Source organism: Homo sapiens, chromosome 12, assembly GCF_000001405.40.
Source record: "Homo sapiens chromosome 12, GRCh38.p14 Primary Assembly".
In the NCBI taxonomy this organism is placed as follows: domain Eukaryota; kingdom Metazoa; phylum Chordata; class Mammalia; order Primates; family Hominidae; genus Homo; species Homo sapiens.
In genome coordinates, this window is record NC_000012.12 from 50741624 (window position 1) to 50760334 (window position 18711).

General features: G+C 43.5%; 1 protein-coding gene and 1 long non-coding RNA gene across 2 annotated transcripts in view, besides 2 other annotated features; one reads left to right on the forward strand and one right to left on the reverse strand.

The window, feature by feature from the left end:
* DIP2B (disco interacting protein 2 homolog B) overlaps positions 1-7034 on the forward strand; it is a 243673-nt gene extending 236639 nt beyond the window's left edge. Inside the window, exon 38 of the mRNA NM_173602.3 lies at positions 2964-7034. Coding sequence (NP_775873.2) covers positions 2964-3216 — 253 coding nt within the window. The 3' untranslated portion in view covers positions 3217-7034. The remainder of the gene's footprint in view (positions 1-2963) is intronic.
* On the reverse strand, positions 1953-16027 carry LOC124902932 (uncharacterized). Its single transcript, XR_007063306.1, has 2 exons — positions 15679-16027; positions 1953-3352 (listed from the first exon to the last, which is right to left on the reverse strand). It is a non-coding gene; the product is annotated as an uncharacterized LOC124902932 (long non-coding RNA).
* Positions 6649-7283: an enhancer, noted in NCBI's record as "H3K27ac-H3K4me1 hESC enhancer chr12:51142055-51142689 (GRCh37/hg19 assembly coordinates)". NCBI's record gives its function as "activates a minimal SCP1, AML or CMV promoter by ChIP-STARR-seq in primed H9 embryonic stem cells {active_cell/tissue: H9 hESC(primed)}" and the evidence as "EXISTENCE:reporter gene assay evidence [ECO:0000049][PMID:30033119]".
* Positions 7284-7917: an enhancer, noted in NCBI's record as "H3K27ac-H3K4me1 hESC enhancer chr12:51142690-51143323 (GRCh37/hg19 assembly coordinates)". NCBI's record gives its function as "activates a minimal SCP1, AML or CMV promoter by ChIP-STARR-seq in primed H9 embryonic stem cells {active_cell/tissue: H9 hESC(primed)}" and the evidence as "EXISTENCE:reporter gene assay evidence [ECO:0000049][PMID:30033119]".

An 18711-nucleotide genomic window follows, 5' to 3' on the forward strand; every position in this document is an offset into this window, starting at 1 on the left:
CATACCTACCTTGAAACATAGAGCTCCATGGGAGGAGTAAGGAAATAGACTGATTCTTGTCTTGGGTGTGCAATCTGCTGTGGCCAACAAAGCCTATCCACAGGAGCCAGATGAGGCCATGAGGCCCCTGGGGAATACTCTGATACCTTCTGTGGAATGCTGGAACTGAGTCCTTTTTTAGTGATAGACTCTCATAATGGGAAGGGACTAACAGATCATTGATCTCTTGAAAGTCAGCATAATATGGTGGAAAGAACCAGCTTAAAGGCTCTCCTCATCTGTAAAACACTCTCTCTGCTACTTCCTAATTATCAGAAGCATCAAATGAGAATGTGCTTTGTAAACTATTAAATGGTAAGCAGATGAAAAGGGTAGTTGATATTATCTCATCCAGTTTCCTGCTCTTTGCAGGAATTCCCCCTACATTTTCCCTGATAAAGGATCGTCCAACCACATATTGACTTAAAATCTGTAAAATTAAAACTGTGGTTTGGCCGGCCACAGTGGCTCACATCTATAATCCCAGAACTTTGGGAGGCCAAGGCGGGCGGATCGCTTAAGCCCAGGAATCCAAGACCATCCTGGGTAACATGGTAAAACCCCATCTCTACAAAAAAATTAAAAAAATAGCCAGGTGTGGTGGCATGCCTGTAGTCCCAGCTACTCAGGAGGCTGAGGTGGGAGGATCACTTGAGCCTGGGAGGTTGAGGCTACAGTGAGCCAAGATTGTGCCACTGCACTCCAGCCCTGGTGACAGACTGAGACTGTCTCAAAAAAAAAAAAAAAAAAAAAAAAAAAACCACCTCTGTAGTGTTTACCTACTGGCTTTCATTCTGGGTTCTTAACCAACACAGAATCCGTTCGGTTTGTTTCTACCTATTTTAGTGAATATGTCCTTCTTCACCACTTTTCCCCATGCTAAACAGCCACAGTTCTTTTGATGGTTGCTCATGCTTTCCAGATACTTCTTTGTCTAAAAATGCTCTTGTCGGCCGGAAGTGGTGGCTCACGCCTATAATCCCAGCACTTTGGGAGGCTGAGGTGGGTGGATCACCTGAGGTCAGGAGTTCAAGACCAGCCTGGCCAACATGGCAAAACCCTGTCTCTACTAAAAATACAAAAATTAGCTGGACGCAGTGGCAGGCACCCGTAATCCTAGCTGCTCGGGAGGCTGAGGCAGGAAAATTGCTTGAACCTGGGAGGCGGAGGTTGCAATGGGCCAAGATTGCGCCACTGTACTCCAGCCTGGGCAACAGAGCGAAACTCTGTCTCAAAAAAAAAAAAGATGCTCTTGTTTTCATAGGAGTCTCTCCCCAGACCTGAACAAGACTCTGACCAAGACAAGAACATCTTTAGACATCTGGAAAGCATCCAGGGAAGCTGGGTGCTGTGGTTACTTTGTCATTTTAGACATTTGACTCTTAATGGAACCAAATATTGTGTACATTTTTAATTACTGGAATTTGGTTTTGTTTGTTTTTTTTGTGAGACAGAGTCTCCCCAGGCTGGAGTGCAGCGGTGCGATCCCGGCTCACTGCAACCTCTGCCTCCTGGGTTCAAGCGATTCTTCTGCCTCAGCCTCCCGGGTAGCTGGGACTACAGGCACACTCAACCATGCCCGGCTAATTTTTGTATTTTTAGTAGAGACGGGGTTTCACCATATTGGCCAGGCTAGTCTTGAATTCCTGACCTCGTGATCCGCCCACCTCGGCCTCCCAAAGTGCTGGGATTACAGGCGTGAGCCACCGCACCCAACTGAAATCTGTTTTTAAAGCAATTTAGCCCTGCATACCAAGTCAGGCCCTACCTTCTAACCCAGTAACACCACTCGGTGGAAAGTGGCTTATGGCTCTTTTATACAATAGGAGACACTTGCGTGGGGCACTAATAACTCATGTGAGTCAGACAGACACTCTTCCTGTTGGGTTTAAGAATACTGCCTTAGGGTGGTCTGAAGGTAGTGAGTTAATTTAATTGATTGTTAATAGTCAATTACAAATCAATCAAACTATTCGTTCTACTCTTTCCCTCTTTCTCACTACTGCACTTGACTAGTCTAAAAAACAAAAGAATATTTTATTAGTCAAAGCTCTTATGGGGCAAATAACAGGCTCCCTTCAAAAAAGCTTAAGTGAAAGAATTAATGGAAAGAATACCTGGCTATCTCAGACATTCCAAAAAAACTAACTCTGGGTCTCAGGAAAGGTAGAAACAAGGGAATGGTAAGGCCATCAGGAATCACTGTCGCCTTACTTTCTAGAGCCATATGGGCATTCCCTTCTTTCTTTTTCGCCTCCCTGAAGAGGGATTCTCTCTGCTTCTCTGTGCCCTGGGCTACCCCAGAATATTCAAATCCATGTCACTGGTTCAAATGACCAGTTAACAACTTTTTTTTTGAGACAGAGTCTCACTCTGTTGCCCAGGCTGGAGTGTAGTGGCGCAAACTTGGCTCACTGCAACCTCCGCCTCCTGGGTTCAAATTATTCTCCTCCCTCAGCCTCCTGAGTAGCTGGGACTACGGGTGCTCACCACCAAGTCTGGCTAATTTTTGTATTTTTAGTAGAGGCGGGATTTCGCCATGTTGGCCAGGCTGGTCTCGAACTCCTGACCTCAGGTGATCCGCCCATGTCGGCCTCCCAAAGTGCTGGGATTATAGGTGTGAGCCACCGCGCCTGGCCTGACAACTTTAAATTCCACTTTCAAACTCCCAGGAGATTCTGGACAACTCAGCTGTGTTCACAGGGGCAAGATGTCTCTCATATATATATATATTCATTATATAATTTTTCCCTCAGTCTTATCAGGTAAAATTGAAAGGTGTCATATATGGTAGACATGACTGCTGACGTTCTGGTTGGGATTGAGGGGAGAAGGCGGGGAAATGGGCTAAGTCTGGGACAGATGCTATAAAAGATAACTGAAAAATGTAGTGACAAGTTAATGAATTGTCATTGAAATTTCAGTGCCGTGTTCACATGGACCAACTTGCTTGTGGTGGTTGTGGAACTGTGCGGCTCTGAACAGGAAGCCCTAGATCTGGTCCCATTAGTGACCAACGTGGTCCTGGAAGAGCATTACCTCATCGTTGGCGTCGTGGTTGTGGTGGACCCAGGTGTCATCCCGATCAACTCCAGAGGAGAGAAGCAGAGGATGCACCTCCGTGATAGCTTCCTAGCTGACCAGTTAGACCCCATCTACGTGGCTTATAACATGTAACCAGCCTTGTGGGGACTGCAGTGGGCCATTCTGAAGAATCACAAAGACAGAAGACCTCTGGCTAAGAGCAGGCTTCAAACGATGTGAAATAAGCTGAGATGGCTACATGATATTCTTCATCTCATCCTGTGGGATTCTGCAATCATAAAACACAGGAAAGGGGAATTCTGTGATGGCAAATGAAAAAAATGTTAACATTTGGTAGACATGTGCTTTGACATAGCGTGAGCAGCACATTACTAAAGCAATTACATGCATGTTGCATTTTTTTCATCTGTTGTACATAGTTGTATTTTTATCTAATGCCATTTTAGAATTTTCTAAGGGAATTTAATGAATTCACATGAAAGGGGTAGTCTGAGTGACACAGTTCCCCACTCCGTACTGTATTTTGCCATTCTGCCGTAGCTAGATGTTCTGTGGGGTTTGTTAACATGGAACTACTCAGCTTTCTTTCAGTCAACCCATAAGCAAATCAGATAACCCACTGACTATGAGAATTACTTTATATAGATAATTCTTGACTGTAAAACATTTTGACCAGTGTTTTACAACATGTACATAAGAATACACATAATTCAACTAGAGATTTGAAGAATTGGCTTGTATAGTTATAACAACCACAGTAGAAACATTTCTACTTTGAGAGAATTTCAATATTCTCTTAATGTTGTGTAATTGATTAGGTAACTAAAAAGCGCAAATTGTTGGCAGGTTTTGCTGCACATTGTTCTATGTCTTTGTTGGCTGGTGTATTTTATAAACTAAAGCTGCCTATGTTTCTTTTTAAAGCTCGCATTCCCAGAATCAGCTTAGGCTTCTATGAATTCAGCCTGTTTCTAAAAGCTGAAAATCTCAGTTTAAAAATCAAAATGTTAACACAAAGCTAAGATTCATCAGAGCCCACCCTATTCTAAGGAACCACAATAACTTACTCTGGCCCCAGTGTTAAAACGATCTTTCAGATTTAGAGTGACTATGTAAGAATTTAGGATTTCCTCTTTTCCAGGCACATTGTAAACTGTGTCTACAGTTTATCCATATAACTTCTCTTCTGAAAACTGAGGAGTGTCCTCTGTTCTTCCAGTTCACGAGGGCAGGGGGTTTAAAACAAGAATGATAGGCCAGGAAGGCAGTGGGGATCCACCATCACATGGAACTGTAAGGCCATATAACTACACAAAACTGACCAATCTGGGTTGCCAAAGCAGCCAGGCTTATGCTGAAACCGGGGAAGTCTGACATATGCAGGAAACTCTTTTGAAATAACTTTGGTGCCCAGGCCAAGTAGAATGAGATGAGACTGAGTTTGGCCTCTGGCTCGGTTTCCTTTCTTTGGTCTGATACTTCATGTATTTGAATATAGTTAAATCGTATTATTTTTTTCTTAACAGAAATATTTTTAAAAATGAAAAAGTACTCAAAAGTGAGAAGAGTTAACTTGTCAAAGCAGAATGGTTCTCTTTGACCCACTCTGGTCTATTGTGTAAATATTTATTTAGACTATTTTAATAATACATATTATTTACCCCACTGTAACATCATGTAAACTAAGTATGTTTTTAAACAATTTTTAAGACTTGTAATTACCCTGAAAATAAGGTTTATAATGCAAAGACCAGCTCCTTTGCGGTGGCAGTGCTCTAGGGCTGCCATTACACGGTCTTGTGATGTGACTAAAAGCCACTTTGTGACTCCCTTCATGTAATCCTCTTTTCCTCCCCACTCCTCCACAGAGGGCAGAGCTCAGGACATTTGCCAGTTCCAGATCTCTTTTTCAGCATTTTCATGGAATTAATTTACACGTAATGAGGGAAGTCCTAGGATGGATAGAAAAAAAGCACTTACATTGGGGCACACAGGAAATCCCAGTGTCTAGCAATGGTTTGGTTTGCAGAGAACACAGCCTGATACTTAATTTTCTTAAAACTATTTTTAATGATCCACTAAACAAAGCAGGGGATCCTGAAGCTGATATAAATAAGTCTAGCTCTATAATCCCCAAGTTCTAAAAGTTATGGTTAGATGCTATTCTGTGGGTTGCTTTGATAATTCTTACTAACACAGATTAGGGTATAGGCATCTAGAGATGCACTGTCCACTGTAAATACTATAATGAGAGCCACATCTGTAATTTAAATGTTTCTAGTAACCACATTTTTTTAAAAGTAAAAAGAAACCCATGGTATTGATTTAAATATATTTTATTTAACCCAATAGCTCAAAAACACTATCATTTCAACATAGGATCAATATAAAAATTATTAATGAGTTATTTTACTTTTTTTCATATTAGGCCTTTGAAATTCAGTGTGTATTAAACACATCTCAATTCAAACCATCACCATATTTCAAGTCTTTGTAGCCAAATGTGACTAGTGGCTACCATATTAGACAGTGCAGATCTATACTCATTCCTTCAAATACATTACTCTGTTAATCTCAAAGTGTGGCCAACTCCCATTTACTTAGAGGCTGATTATCTAGTTTTGTAGTTCCTCAGGCCTCTAATTTATTTTTTGCTTTCTGCTTTATTGATCTTTTGCATGTCCCCCAAAGCCAGAATCTGCTCATGGAGGAAGGAAGGCTAAGAACTGTCCTTGAGGAACTTCATCAGTAACTCTGGTAAAGCATCCTGTGGAGGGAGAGGAGAGCCCAGTCATTTGCTTAGATGGTGTTTGTGGGATCACCTGCAGATTTAAAGCCTACTCTGCCACAGACTCGAGTAAGAAAATGTTCTCTTGATGACACAGTGCTCCTACTCTATCCACATTAAGTAGCACTTTTGTGGTAGAACTGATTCTTAAGGCAGGCCTGAAAGGCCATTACTAATAGAAACACAGCCTTTCCAATCCTCTGGAACATATTCTGTCTGGGTTTTTAATGTCTGTGGAAAAAAACTAAACAAGTCTCTGTCTCAGTTAAGAGAAATCTATTGGTCTGAAGGTTTCTGAACCTCTTTCTGGTTCTCAGCAGAAGTAACTGAAGTAGATCAGGAAGGGGCTGCCTCAGGAAAATTCCTAGATCCTAGGAATTCAGTGAGACCCTGGGAAGGACCAGCATGCTAATCAGTGTCAGTGAATCCACAGTCTTTACTTCCTGCCTCATAAAGGGCCAGGTCTCCCCAGTACCAAGTCCTTTCCTCATGAAGTTGTGTTGCCTCAGGCTGTTTAGGGACCATTGCCTGTCTTGGTCACATGAGTCTGTCTCCTTACTTTAGTCCCTGGGCAATCCTTGCTTAATGCTTTTGTTGACTCAACAAGGGCCCGAGGCCTTAGGTTTTCTATTAAGGTCTCTGCCCCAGGCATGGTGCTCTATATCTTGGCCAAATAAATTACTTTCCTTGAATATCCAGGAATCTTTTAGTCTAAAGCAATGAGGAGTTATCACCTCATCCTCAAACTCCAACAAGATCTATGCCTTAGTGTTGTTTTTGTTGTCTGCTTTGATGTAAAAGCAAGAGTATTTGGAGCAAGAAGCTGCAATGCGCCAAATACACAATAGGCCTTTTCTTTATCATTCATACGACATTTCTGGTTTAGGTGTATGTAGTTGGGCCATGTTACTTGTCCAGAGGAAGAGACTAAAGATATAAGAATAATTTTTTAGTCCTAAATGCTGTTTTGTTTACTTTCTGTCAAGATATTTACCCGTGTCAAATTCAAACTACAGTACTGTGTAATTATGTATAAAGTTTTTTTATTTATTTGAAGTTAGACTAGATATACGTTTTTAAATTTAACATCTGGCTGGACAGTGTTCTATTAACTCATTGAATGTGTTTCCTTTGTCTTGTGTTAATAAATATTGATGCCTGATTCTGTTTAATCCTTCACACATTGGGTGGAGGCTAGGGAATTGATAGATTTTAAATTTAACTTTAGATGGTAAGACCCAGTGATAGCTGGGGTAGTCTAAGGAAAGTGAACACAGAGATCCAGAGTCAGTGCTATTAAAGGATACTAGGTCAGGGAATCAGGGTGTCACTTTGAAAACTAAGGAGCCTGTTGTCAGGACTCTTCAAGGTAATAATTATAGTTTAGTCTTCCTCCCACTCATGTAGCATTTGGTAGTTGTATTTTCTTTTTTAATTTTTTGAGACAGAGTCTCACTCTGTCACCCAGGCTGGAGTGCAGTGGCACAATCTCAGCTCACTGCAGCCTCCGCCTCCTGGGTTCAAGCGATTCTCCCAAAGTAATCCCCAGTAGCTGAGATTACAGGCATGCGCCAACATGCCTAGCTAATTTTTATATTTTTAGTAGAGACAGGGTTTCATCATGTTGGCCAGGCTGGTCTCAAACTCCTGACCTCAAGTGATCTGCCCTTCTCAGCCTCCCAAAGTGCTGGGATTACAGGCGTGACCCACCATGCCTGGCCTAAATTTGAATTTTTTCTAATCTGTAATTAGGCTGGATTTTAGCTTTTCCTAAAATGAGATTTCATTTGCTCTTCCAATTCCTGGTTTCAAGAAACTTGGTGGGAGCCCATCAAATTGTGCATGTTTTCAGACACCGAAAGTGGTCCTTGAATTATTTCATTGATCCAGACTACTCTGGCAGCTGAGAACATTTTTTCATGTCACAGCACTGTGATAAGAGCTGAAGCCAGAGAGAAAAAAATATCAAGTCACTGCTCTCAAGGAGATATAGGATAACAATCACAATACAATACAAGGGTTAAGAGCAGACATGCATTGTGAGAGCAGGCAGGCAAGGCACATAGTCTGATGGTAAGGGAGGATAGTGAGGAGTAGGGAACCTCTGACCTGGGTTTCAGAGGATAAGACAGCCAGATAAGATAGTGAGCAGGAAGGCAGAGTCGCATATTCTGGGAACTAGAATTCATTATTGGGATTACTGTGGTTTGAATGTATGTGTCTGCCCAAAATTCATGTTAGAAGTTAAGACCCAATGTGATAGTTTTAAGAGGTGGGGCCTTTTGGGAAGTGATCAAGTTACGAGAGCTGTGCCCTGGTGAATGGATTAGTGCCCTTGTAAAAGTACTAGAGAGAACTGGTGAGGCCCTTTTGCCTTTCTGTCCCTCCTCCCATGCGAGGACATGGTGTTCGTCCACTCCAGAAGAAGCAGCATTTAAGGTACCATTTTGGAAGTAGAGACCAGGCCCTCACCAGACACTGAAACTGTCAGCACCTTAATCTTGGACTTCCCAGCCTCCATAACCATGAGCAGTAAATTTAAGCTGTTTATAAATTATCCAGGCTTAGGTATTTTGTTGTAGCAACACAAAAGGACTAAGATAAGGATACAAGGTTTGAGGGGAGAAAAGTAAAAGATAATTATGGAGGCTTGAGCCAGGGACAGATCACTGACGGTCTTGTATATCATGCTAAGAATTTTGGACTTTTATCAAAGGGGCAAAGGAGAGTTAGTGAGGGATTTAAAGCAGGGGGATAACATGCTCAGATTCACAATGTAGAAGATTATTCTGGCAGTCATATAGAAAATAAATTGGGGCTGGGCATGGTGGCTCGCGCCTGTGATCCCAGTACTTTGGGAAGCTAAGGCGGAAGATCTCTTGAGCCCAGGAGTTCAGGGCTACAATGAGTTACAACTGCGCCACGGCACTCCAGGCTGGGTGACAGAGCAAGACCCTGTCTCTGAAGAAAAAGAAAAAGAAAAAAATAGATAGGAATAGATAGGGAAAAGGAGATAAAACTGGAAAGACTAGTTGGGAGACCTTTGCAGTAACCACAGTGATAGAGTGCTACGATTTGAATGTGTTCCCTCCAGATTCTTCTGTTGAAACTTAATGGCCAAGGTGATAGTTTTAAGAGATCATTAGGTCATGATGGCTCCTCCCTCACAAATGGACTTAGAGCTCTTATGAAAGGCTTCATGCAGCAGCACTTGACTCGCTTACCTTCTGCCCTTTACCACCAGTGTTCCTCCCCTCTGGAGGACACAGCAACACAGCACTCTCTTGGAAAGAGAGCAGCCCTCACCATACAAGCCAACCTGCCAGTGCCTTGATGTTGAACTTCCTGGCCTCCAGAAGTGTGAGAAATACATTTCTGTTCTTTATAAACTACCCAGGTTCAGATATCTTTGTTACAGCAGCACAAAACAGACTAAGACATAGAGCAAGGGTACTTCAAGGCAGTAAGAATGGAGAAGAGAGGCCATGCATGAGAACTTTGGTGGCATTAAGATTCCAACTGCTGGCCGGGCGCGGTGGCTCATGCCTGTAATCCCAGCACCTTGGGAGGCTGAGGTGGGTGGATCACCTGAGGTCAGGTGTTCAAGACCAGCCTGATCAATGTGGTGAAACCCCATCTGTACTAAAAATACAAAAATTAGCTGGATGTGGTGGTGGCGCATACCTGTAATCCCAGCTACTGGGGAGGCTGAGGCAGGACAATCGCTTGAACCTGGGAGGCAGAGATTGCAGTGAGCTGAGATTGTGCCACTGCACTCCAGCCTGAGCGACAGAGTGAGACTCTGTCTCAAAAAAAAAAAAAAAAAAAAAAAAGATTCCAACTGCTGAATATTCAGGGTAAGGAAGAGGGAATCCAAAATAACTCCTAGATTTCTGGCTTGGGGGTTAGGTGGATGTGGGGCCATTTACCAAGGCAGGGGAGAAAACAGGAGGAATAGATTTGGGAAAGAAGACACTGTGTTCCATATTGGTCATGTTCCTTTGAGGTGCTGTGGAACATGCAGGAGAAGAGGTCCAACAGACAGCTGAATACTGAGGTATTTGCCTCAGGAGAGCTCTGGCCTAAAACTGTAGATTTAGGAGACAACATTTCAAAGTGGATGATACTGTCAAGGAAGAACATGTAGAGTGAGAAAAAGATCAGAGTCATGGCAAACAACAGCATTTAAAGGTTCGTGAGGGCCGGGCACAATGGCTCATGCCTGTAATCCCAGCACTTTGGGAGGGCGAGGCGGGCGGATCACCTGAGATCAGGAGTTCAAGACCAGCCTGGCCAACATGGTGAAACCCAGTCTCTACTGAAAATACAAATTCAGCTGGGCCTGGTGGTGGGCGTCTGTAGTCCCAGCTACTTGGGAGGCTGAGGCACGAGAATCGCTTGGACCCCGGAGGTGGAGGTTGCAGTGAGCCGAGATCGCACCATTGCACTCCAGCCTGGGCGAAAGAGTGAGATTCCATCTCAAAAACAAAATTAAAAGAGGAGGGAGTGCTCAACAACCCAAAGGCCACAACAAAGCTGAGTAGAACAGGGATTGGATGGCATCTGCTGGACCTGTCAACAAGGGAGTCCCTGGTAGCGTTGATGAGAGAGTTTTAGTGCAGCTGTATGGGCAGAAGCCTGAAAACTGGTTCAGGAGAGAACTGCTGGGAGGTGAGACTGAACAGAGGCCCCTCTCCAGAGGCTTTATCTGCAACTGCACGTAGGAAGGAGAAAGAGGGGACAGTAGTTAGAAGAAGGATGTAAAATCAAGGGGGGTCTGTTTTGAATATGGAAGAAATAAACATGTCGGAGAAAAAGCCAGAATAGAGGGAAAGTTTCTAAATATAGCAGTAAGGGACAACTGACAAAGCAAGGTCACTGTCACTGAGGAAGCTGGAGCGGACGGACTCCAGTGAGCAGGTGGAAGGATTGGCAGCAAGGGAGGAAGCACACTTTTTCAAATAAAACTGAGTATGAGCAAGATCCTAATAGAAGTTGCTATTAATAAAAGTCTACCTGATGACCTCATTCACTTCTCTGAATCTCCATTCTCAGTCTCCAAAGATGAACACTCATTTCTGAGATCATTTCTATAAATAAATAACTCCCATGGTCAGACAGACCTGACAAAGCAGAACATAGACTCTGGAAATGATGGTGGTTACTAAAGAAGCAGGTAAGAGGGAGTTCATAGTGCATGCATTAAAGAACAAACAAAATGAATTAGTTGTATTCAATTTCAGAATCTAGGAAAAGAATAAAACCCACTAAGAAAGTTGAAAGAAGGAAATAACAAAGACAAAAGCAGACATTAATAAAAAAGGAAGAAAACAGAAAACAGAAAAAGGTTCAACAGAACCAGAAACTGATTTCTTACAACTATTCTAATCACAGTAAAATCCATTTAACAAAAGGCATGCGCACATGTACACAAAAAGTAGGAAACACAAAAGGGAACATAACTACAGATACAGCCCTTGGGCTTCTATTTCAAGGGATTATTTTTTCAGTAAATTTCCGTTTTAAATGGATAATTTTCTAAAAATTATGTAACTTTGAAAATTCACTCAAGAAATAGAAAATCTGAATTTCACCACACTCACAAAGCAAATAAAAATCCTATTTTCATATATAAAAGAAAAAGCCATCCAACTAATCTTACCAACTTAGTATAAGGCAGATACCAAAGTCACACTAAGGCAGTTTTTAAAAATTCTAAATCAATCTCACTTGAGAAAAGACACAAAATGATAAAGTCTAGGCCAGGCATGGTGGCTCACACCTATACTCTTCAGGCCAAGGTAGGAGGATGGCTTGATACCAGGAGTTGGAGACAAGGCTGGGGAACTTAACGGGACCCTATCTCTAAGAAAAAAAAAATTAAAAATAGCTGGGCATGATAGCACGCGTCTGTGATCCCAGCTACTTAGGAGACTAAGGCGGAGGATCACTTGAGCCCAGGAGTTTGAGGCTGCAGTGAGCCATGATTGTGCAACTGTACTCCAGCCTGGGCAGCAGAATGAGATCCTGTCTCATAAAAATAAAAATCTCAGTGTTTCAGTGATTTATTGCTGTGTAACAAACCACCCCAACTTAGTGGCATAAACCACAGCTGAGTAGAAAGTGATATAAAGTGAGCATCCTCCTCACAGTCTTGACTTTTCTAGTAGTGCTTCTGAAGTATCACCATTGTGTATTCTTCTTACTATATGTTGTTGATAGATGTGCTTTGTCAGTTAAAGAATTCTAGGCCAGGTGCAGTGGCTCACGCCTGTAATCCCAACACTTCAGGAGGCCAAGGTGGGCGGATCACCTGAGGTCAGGAGTTTGAGACCGGCCTGGCCAACACAGTGAAACCCCATCTCTACTAAAAATACAAAAAAAATAGCTGGGCTTGGTGGCAGGCGCCTGTGATCCCAGCTACTTGGGAGGCTAAGGCAGGAGAATCACTTGAACCTGGGAGGCAGAGGTTGCAGTGAACTGAGATCACGCCCCTGCACTCCAACCTGGGTGACAAGAGCAAGAACCCATCGTTAAAAAAAAAAAAAAAAAAAAGGCCGGGCGTGGTGGCTCGCGCCTGTAATCCCAGCACTTTGGGAGGCCAAGGTGGGCGGATCACGAGGTCCGGAGACCGAGACCATCCTGGCTAACACAGTGAAACCCCGTCTCTACTAAAAATACAAAAACAAAATTAGCTGGGCGTGGTGGCGGGCTTCTGTAGTCCCAGCTACTCGGGAGGCTGAGGCGGGAGAATGGCGTGAACCCGGGAGGCGGAGCTTGCAGTGAGCCGAGATTGCACCACTGCACTCCAGCCTGGGCGACAGAGCAAGACTCCGTGTCAAAAAAAAAAAAAAAAAAGTCTATTCTGGCTGGGCGCGGCGGCTCACACCTGTAATCCCAGCACTTTGGGAACCGAGGCGGATGGATCGCTTGAGGCAAGGAGTTCAAGACCAGCCTGGCCAACATGATGAAACCCGTCTCCACCAAAAATTACAAAAGTTAGCCGGGTGTGGTAGCGGGTGCCTGTAATCCCAGCTACTCGGGAGGCTGAGGCAGGAGAATTGCTTGAACCCGGGAGGCAGAGGTTGCAGTCAGCTGAGATTGCCCCACTGCGCTCCAGCCTGGGTGACAGAGGAAGACTCCGTCTCAAAAAAAAAAGAAAGTCTATTCCGTGCCTGCTGGATTTTTTTCATTAGTGTTGAAGTTTATCTTTTCCTCCCCACTGGGTCTATGAGAGGATCACATAGTTTTTTCCTTTAAGCTGTTAAGATGTATTATATAAATAGATTTTACTAATTTTTTAACGTATCTGTAGCAGCCAGAGATGATTCTAATATTGAACCATCCTTGATTTGACCCCTTTTGATCGTCATCTACTATTTCTTATACACCACTGGGTTTGCTTTGCTAATGTGGAGACGACTGTATTTTCCAATATATCTTCACATATTATCTTCCATCCCATGTGCTCTTTGCAATGTTACCCTGACATTCCCTCAAGAGGTACAGTCCTTTCCCCTCAAATATGGTCTGATCAATAGAATGTGGCAGAAATAATGTGCATGACTTTTGGTGTGGATGAGCAGCAGCTTGAGCTTAAAATGCTGACTTTCCTGATGCTCCCTTTTAGAACCCAGCGCTATACTGTAAGAGGCCCAAGCTCTGAAGAGGCGCTATGTTTAGGTTCTTTGGTCAATAGTCCCAGCTGAGCCCAGTCTGCGAATTATCCTAGCCTGGGTCTCAGATGAGATTATAGCTAGCATAGTTAGGGAAAAATAAGTGAACCTCCCGAGTACCTGGGATTCCAGGCACCCGCCACCACGCCCAGCTAGTTTTGTATTTTTAGTAGAGATGAGGTTTGTTGGCCAGACTGGTCTCAAACTCCTGACCTCAGGTGAAAAAGAATAACTGAACTTTAAGATAGATAGATCAATAGATTATCTAATCTGAAGAACAAAGAGAAAAAAGATTGGAGAAAAAAATAGTGCCTCAGAGACCTGTGGGAAAATATTAAGTGGTCTGACATATTGTAATTGCAGTTCCAGATGGAGGAGAGAGAGAATGGGACATAAAAATATGTGAAGAAATAATGGCAAAAGCTTCCCAGATTTGGAAAGACATACATTTACTGACTGAAGAAGTTCAAGAAGCAGCAAGCAGTATAAATACAAAGAAAATCACTTAGGCAGAGTCATGGGCAAACTGCTAAACTTTTAAATAAAGCAAAAGTCTTCAAAGAAGCCTGAGAAAATGACATGTTACATAGCAGATAACAATGATACAAATGATAGCCAACTTCTCATTAAACACTATGGAAGCCAGAAGAACACAGAATACGTTTAGGCTACTAGGAGTTAAAGACTGTCAATTCAGAATTCTATATCCAGTGAAACTAGTCTTCAAAAATGAAGGTGGGCCTGACACAGTGGCTCACACCTGTAATCCCAGCACTTTGGGAGGCTGAGGCAGGAGGATCGCTTGAGCCCAGAAGTTTGAGACCAGCCTGGGCAATATAGTGAGACTGCATCTCTAAAAAAAAAAAAAAAAAAAAAGATGAAGGTGAATTCTAAATCTGTTAAAGACCATCTGTGAAAAACTCACTAACAAACACCCCACTTAATAGTGAAAAACTGAATGCTCTCTCCCTAACATTGGAAACAAGGGAAGAGAAAGTCTGTTCTCACCTCTTCTATTCAATGTTGTACTAAAGGTCTATCCAAAGCGATTAGGCAAGAAAAAGAAATAAAAGGCATCCAGAGGAAAAGAGGAATAAAAGCTATCTCTATTCACAGATAAAATGACTTGTACATAGAAAATCCTAAAGAATACACAATTAGAATTTAAATAGGGTGACTATAGTCAGTAATAACTTAATTGTATATTTTTAAATAATATAATTGGATTATTTGTATCAGGATAAATGCTTGAGGGGATGGATATCCATTCTCCATGACGTGCTTATTTCATATTGGATGCCTGTATCAACACATCTCAAGTACCCCAGAAATATATACACCTACTATGTACCTACAAAAATTTTTTAAAATTTAAGAAAACACTAAAAGGAATAAGTGACTTTCACAAGGTTGAAGAATACAAGAGCAACATAAGTCAATTTTATTTCTATTCACTAGCAATGAACTTTCCAAAAATAAAATACACAAAACAATTCCATTTGAAATAGCATCAAAAGGAATAAAATACAGTCTGTGACTTATGATGGTTCAACTTAACAATTTTTCAACTTTACAATGGTGCAAAAGTGATGCAGTCAGTAGAAACCATACTTTGAGTACCCATAAAACCATTCTGTTTTTCACTTTCAGTGTAATATTCAATAAATTAAATGAGATAGGGAGCCATGGGTGGGGAGATGTTGGAGTGGAGGCTTGACAGGAAGTGGGATCGGTGCCTGGCAGATGTGGCCATGATGATAAGTACTAGTTTTGAATTAGCCTTCCTTCCCTTCCCTCCCTCCTTCCTTCTCTCCCTCCCTCCCTTCCTCCCTCCCTCCTTCTTGACTGAGTTTCGCTCTTGTTGCCCAGGCTGGAGTGCAATGGCGCAATCTCAGCTCACTGCAACCTCTGCCTCCCAGGTTCAAGCAATTCTCCTGCCTCAGCCTCCCAAGTAACTGGGATTACAGGCACCTGCCACCATGCCTGGCTAATTTTGTATTTTTAGTAGAGATGGGGTTTCTCCATGTTGGTCAGGCTGGTCTCGAACTCCTGACCTCAGGTGATCCACCCACCTTGGCCTCCCAAAGTGCTGGGATTACAGGCGTGAGCCACCGTGCCCGGCCTACTTACCTTCTTTAAAAGACGAGTGTGGCCATTAGCCTTCGGTTCTGGCATGGGATTAGAAATGGCTTACTCCAACTGTCAGCATGATTTCCAGGTCCATATCTTCTACATGGAAAATATGTCAAACAGCAGGAGCAGTGACTTCACCTGACAACATCCCAGTGGGAGGAAAAGAGAAACTGTGTTTATTCCTCAGGAATACTGAAGTGCCCTGGAGTAAACTGACATTCTTCTGTAACAGTGCTATTCAAAAAAAAATAGGCTGGGCACAGTGGTTCACACCTGTAATCCCAGCACTTTGGGAAGCCGAGGTGGGTGTATTGCGTGAGGCCAGGAGTTCGAGACCAGCCTGGCCAACATGGTGAAACCCCATCTCTACTAAAAATATAAAAATCAGAGCTGGGCGTGGTGGTTCATAACTGTAATCCCAGCACTTTGGGAGGCTGAGGCAGGTGGATCACCTGAGGTCAGGAGTTGGAGACCAGCCTAGCCAACATGGTGAAACCCCGTCTCTACTAAAAATACAAAAATTAGCCAGGCATGGTGGTGCATGCCTGTAATCCCAGCTAGTCAGGAGACTGAGGCAGGAGAATCGCTTGAACCTGGGAGGCAGAGGTTGCAGTGAGCTGAGATCGCACCACTGCACTCCAACCTGGGCAATGGAGTGAGACTCTGTCTCAAAAAATATATATATATATCAGCTGGGTATGGTGGTGCACGCCTGTAATCCCAGCTACTCAGGAGGCTAAGTCACAAGAATCTCAAGGGAGACTAGCCTGGATAACATTTATATAAATAAATAAATAAATAAATAAATAAATAAATAAATAAATAATAAATAAATAAATAAATTTAATCAGTGCAAATTCATACACTGAAAACCACAAAACGCTGTGAAATTGAATGAGATCCAAATTAAAGAAAAGTCATGGTGGGGCATGGTGGCTCACGCCTGTAATCCCCGCACTTTGGGAGGCCAAGGCAGGCGGATCACGAGGTCAGGAGATCGAGACCATCCTGGTCAACATGGTGAAACCCCATCTCTACTAAAAATATGAAAATTAGCTGGGCGTCGTGGCACATACCTGTAATCCCAGCTACTCAGGAGGCTGAGGCAGGAGAATTGCTTGAACCAAGGAGTCGGAGGTTGCAGTGAGCTGAGATCGCAGCACTGCACTCCAGCCTGGGCCGGACTTGGCTGGTTGATGTCAGCCACCTATTGACTTCTTGGAACTGGTACAATGAGCATATGAATGGAGCAGCCACAGTGGCAGAGGTGGAGGCTACGCATGGACTCCTAAAACTGATTTAATAACTACTGTCTCTGAAACCTTAACTAAACACTGACCGAGACCAACAGTGAGCTCCCAATGTTGCACTGTTTCTTCAGAAAACTACTAGGCCACTTCATAGCAAGCTGACAACATCGGGCTTCTTTCATAGTAGAAGGGCCAGTGATTTGTTCTCACGTGAACAGATTTACTTTTTCTGGGTAAGGGTTTGACTCTTCTGCCCTCATAGCTTCAGTCACCATCACTACCTGGGGGCTTAGAAAGGTGTGTGAAACCTGCAGGCTGCTCTGACCAACATCAAGAAGGTTCTGGCCAGGCTCTGTGGCTCACGCCTGCAATCTCTACACTTTGGGAGGCTAAGGTGGATAACTTGAGCTCAGGAGCTCGAGACCAGCCTGGGCAACATAGAGGGACCCTATCTCTACAGAAAACTTTTAAAATTGGCCGGGCACGGTGGCTCATGCCTGTAATCTCAGCACTTTGGGAGGCCAAGGCAGGCGGATCACGAGGTCAGGAGATCGAGACCATCCTGGCTAACATGGTGAAACCCCGTCTCTACTAAAAGTACAAAAAAGAAACAGCCGGGCGTGGTGGCGGGCGCCTGTAGTCCCAGGTACTCCGGAGGCTGAGGCAGGAGAACGGCGTGAACCTGGGAGGCAGAGGTTGCAGTGAGCCAAGATCGCGCCACTGCACTCCAGCCTGGGTGACAGAGCGAGACTCCATCTCAAAAAAAAAAAAAAAGAAAAAGAAAAAAAAAATTAGCTGGGCGTGGTGCTGCACATCTATAGTCCCAGGTACCTGGGAGGCTAAGGTGGGAGGATGGCTTGAGCCTAGGAGGTCAAGGCTGCAGTAAGCTGAGATCGTGCACCACTGCACTCCAGCCTGGGCGACACAGCAAGACCGTCTAAAAAAAAATCCAACATTTATTTAGTGCTTACTATATACTAGGCACAGCTCTAACTTTACGTGTATCAAAGTAATTCAGTCTACAAAACCCTATGGGATAGGCAGTGTTATTAAATCCATTTCATTATAACCTCTTTTTTTAAAATTTTTTTTTAATGGGATGGAGTCTCCTTCTGTTGCCCAAGCTGGAGTGCCATGGAGTGATCTCAGCTCACTGCAACCTCTGCCTCCTGAGTTCAAGTGATTCTCCTGCCTCAACCTCCCGAGTAGCTGGGATTACAGGTGCATGCCACCACACCTGGTTAATTTTTTTTCTTTTTTTTTTGAGACAGAGTCTTGCACCATCACCCAGGCTGGAATGCAGTGGCACAATCTCAGCTCACTGCAACCTCTGCCTCCCAGGTTCAAGCGATTCTCCTGCCTCAGCCTCCTGAGTAGCTGGGATTACAGGTGCACACTACCACGCCTGGCTAATTTTTGTATTTTCAGTAGAGACGGAGTTTCACCATGTTGTCCAGGCTAGTCTCAAACTCCTGACCTCAGGTATCCACCCGCCTCGGCCTCCCAAGGTGCTGGGATTACAGGTGTGAGCCAATGCCTGGCCACATCTCTCTTTTCTAACAACAAAAAAGTGTGCCAGAAGAGCCAAAGTGGTGCTACCACAGGCTTGCCCAGTTTATTTTAAAAAAAACAATTACTTTTGGCCAGACACGGTGGCTCACACCTGTAATCCCAGCACTTTGGGAGGCTGAGGCGGGCGGATCACCTTAGGTCAGGAGTTCGAGACCAGCCTAACATGGTGAAACCCCATCTCTACTAAAAATACAAAAATTAGCCAGAC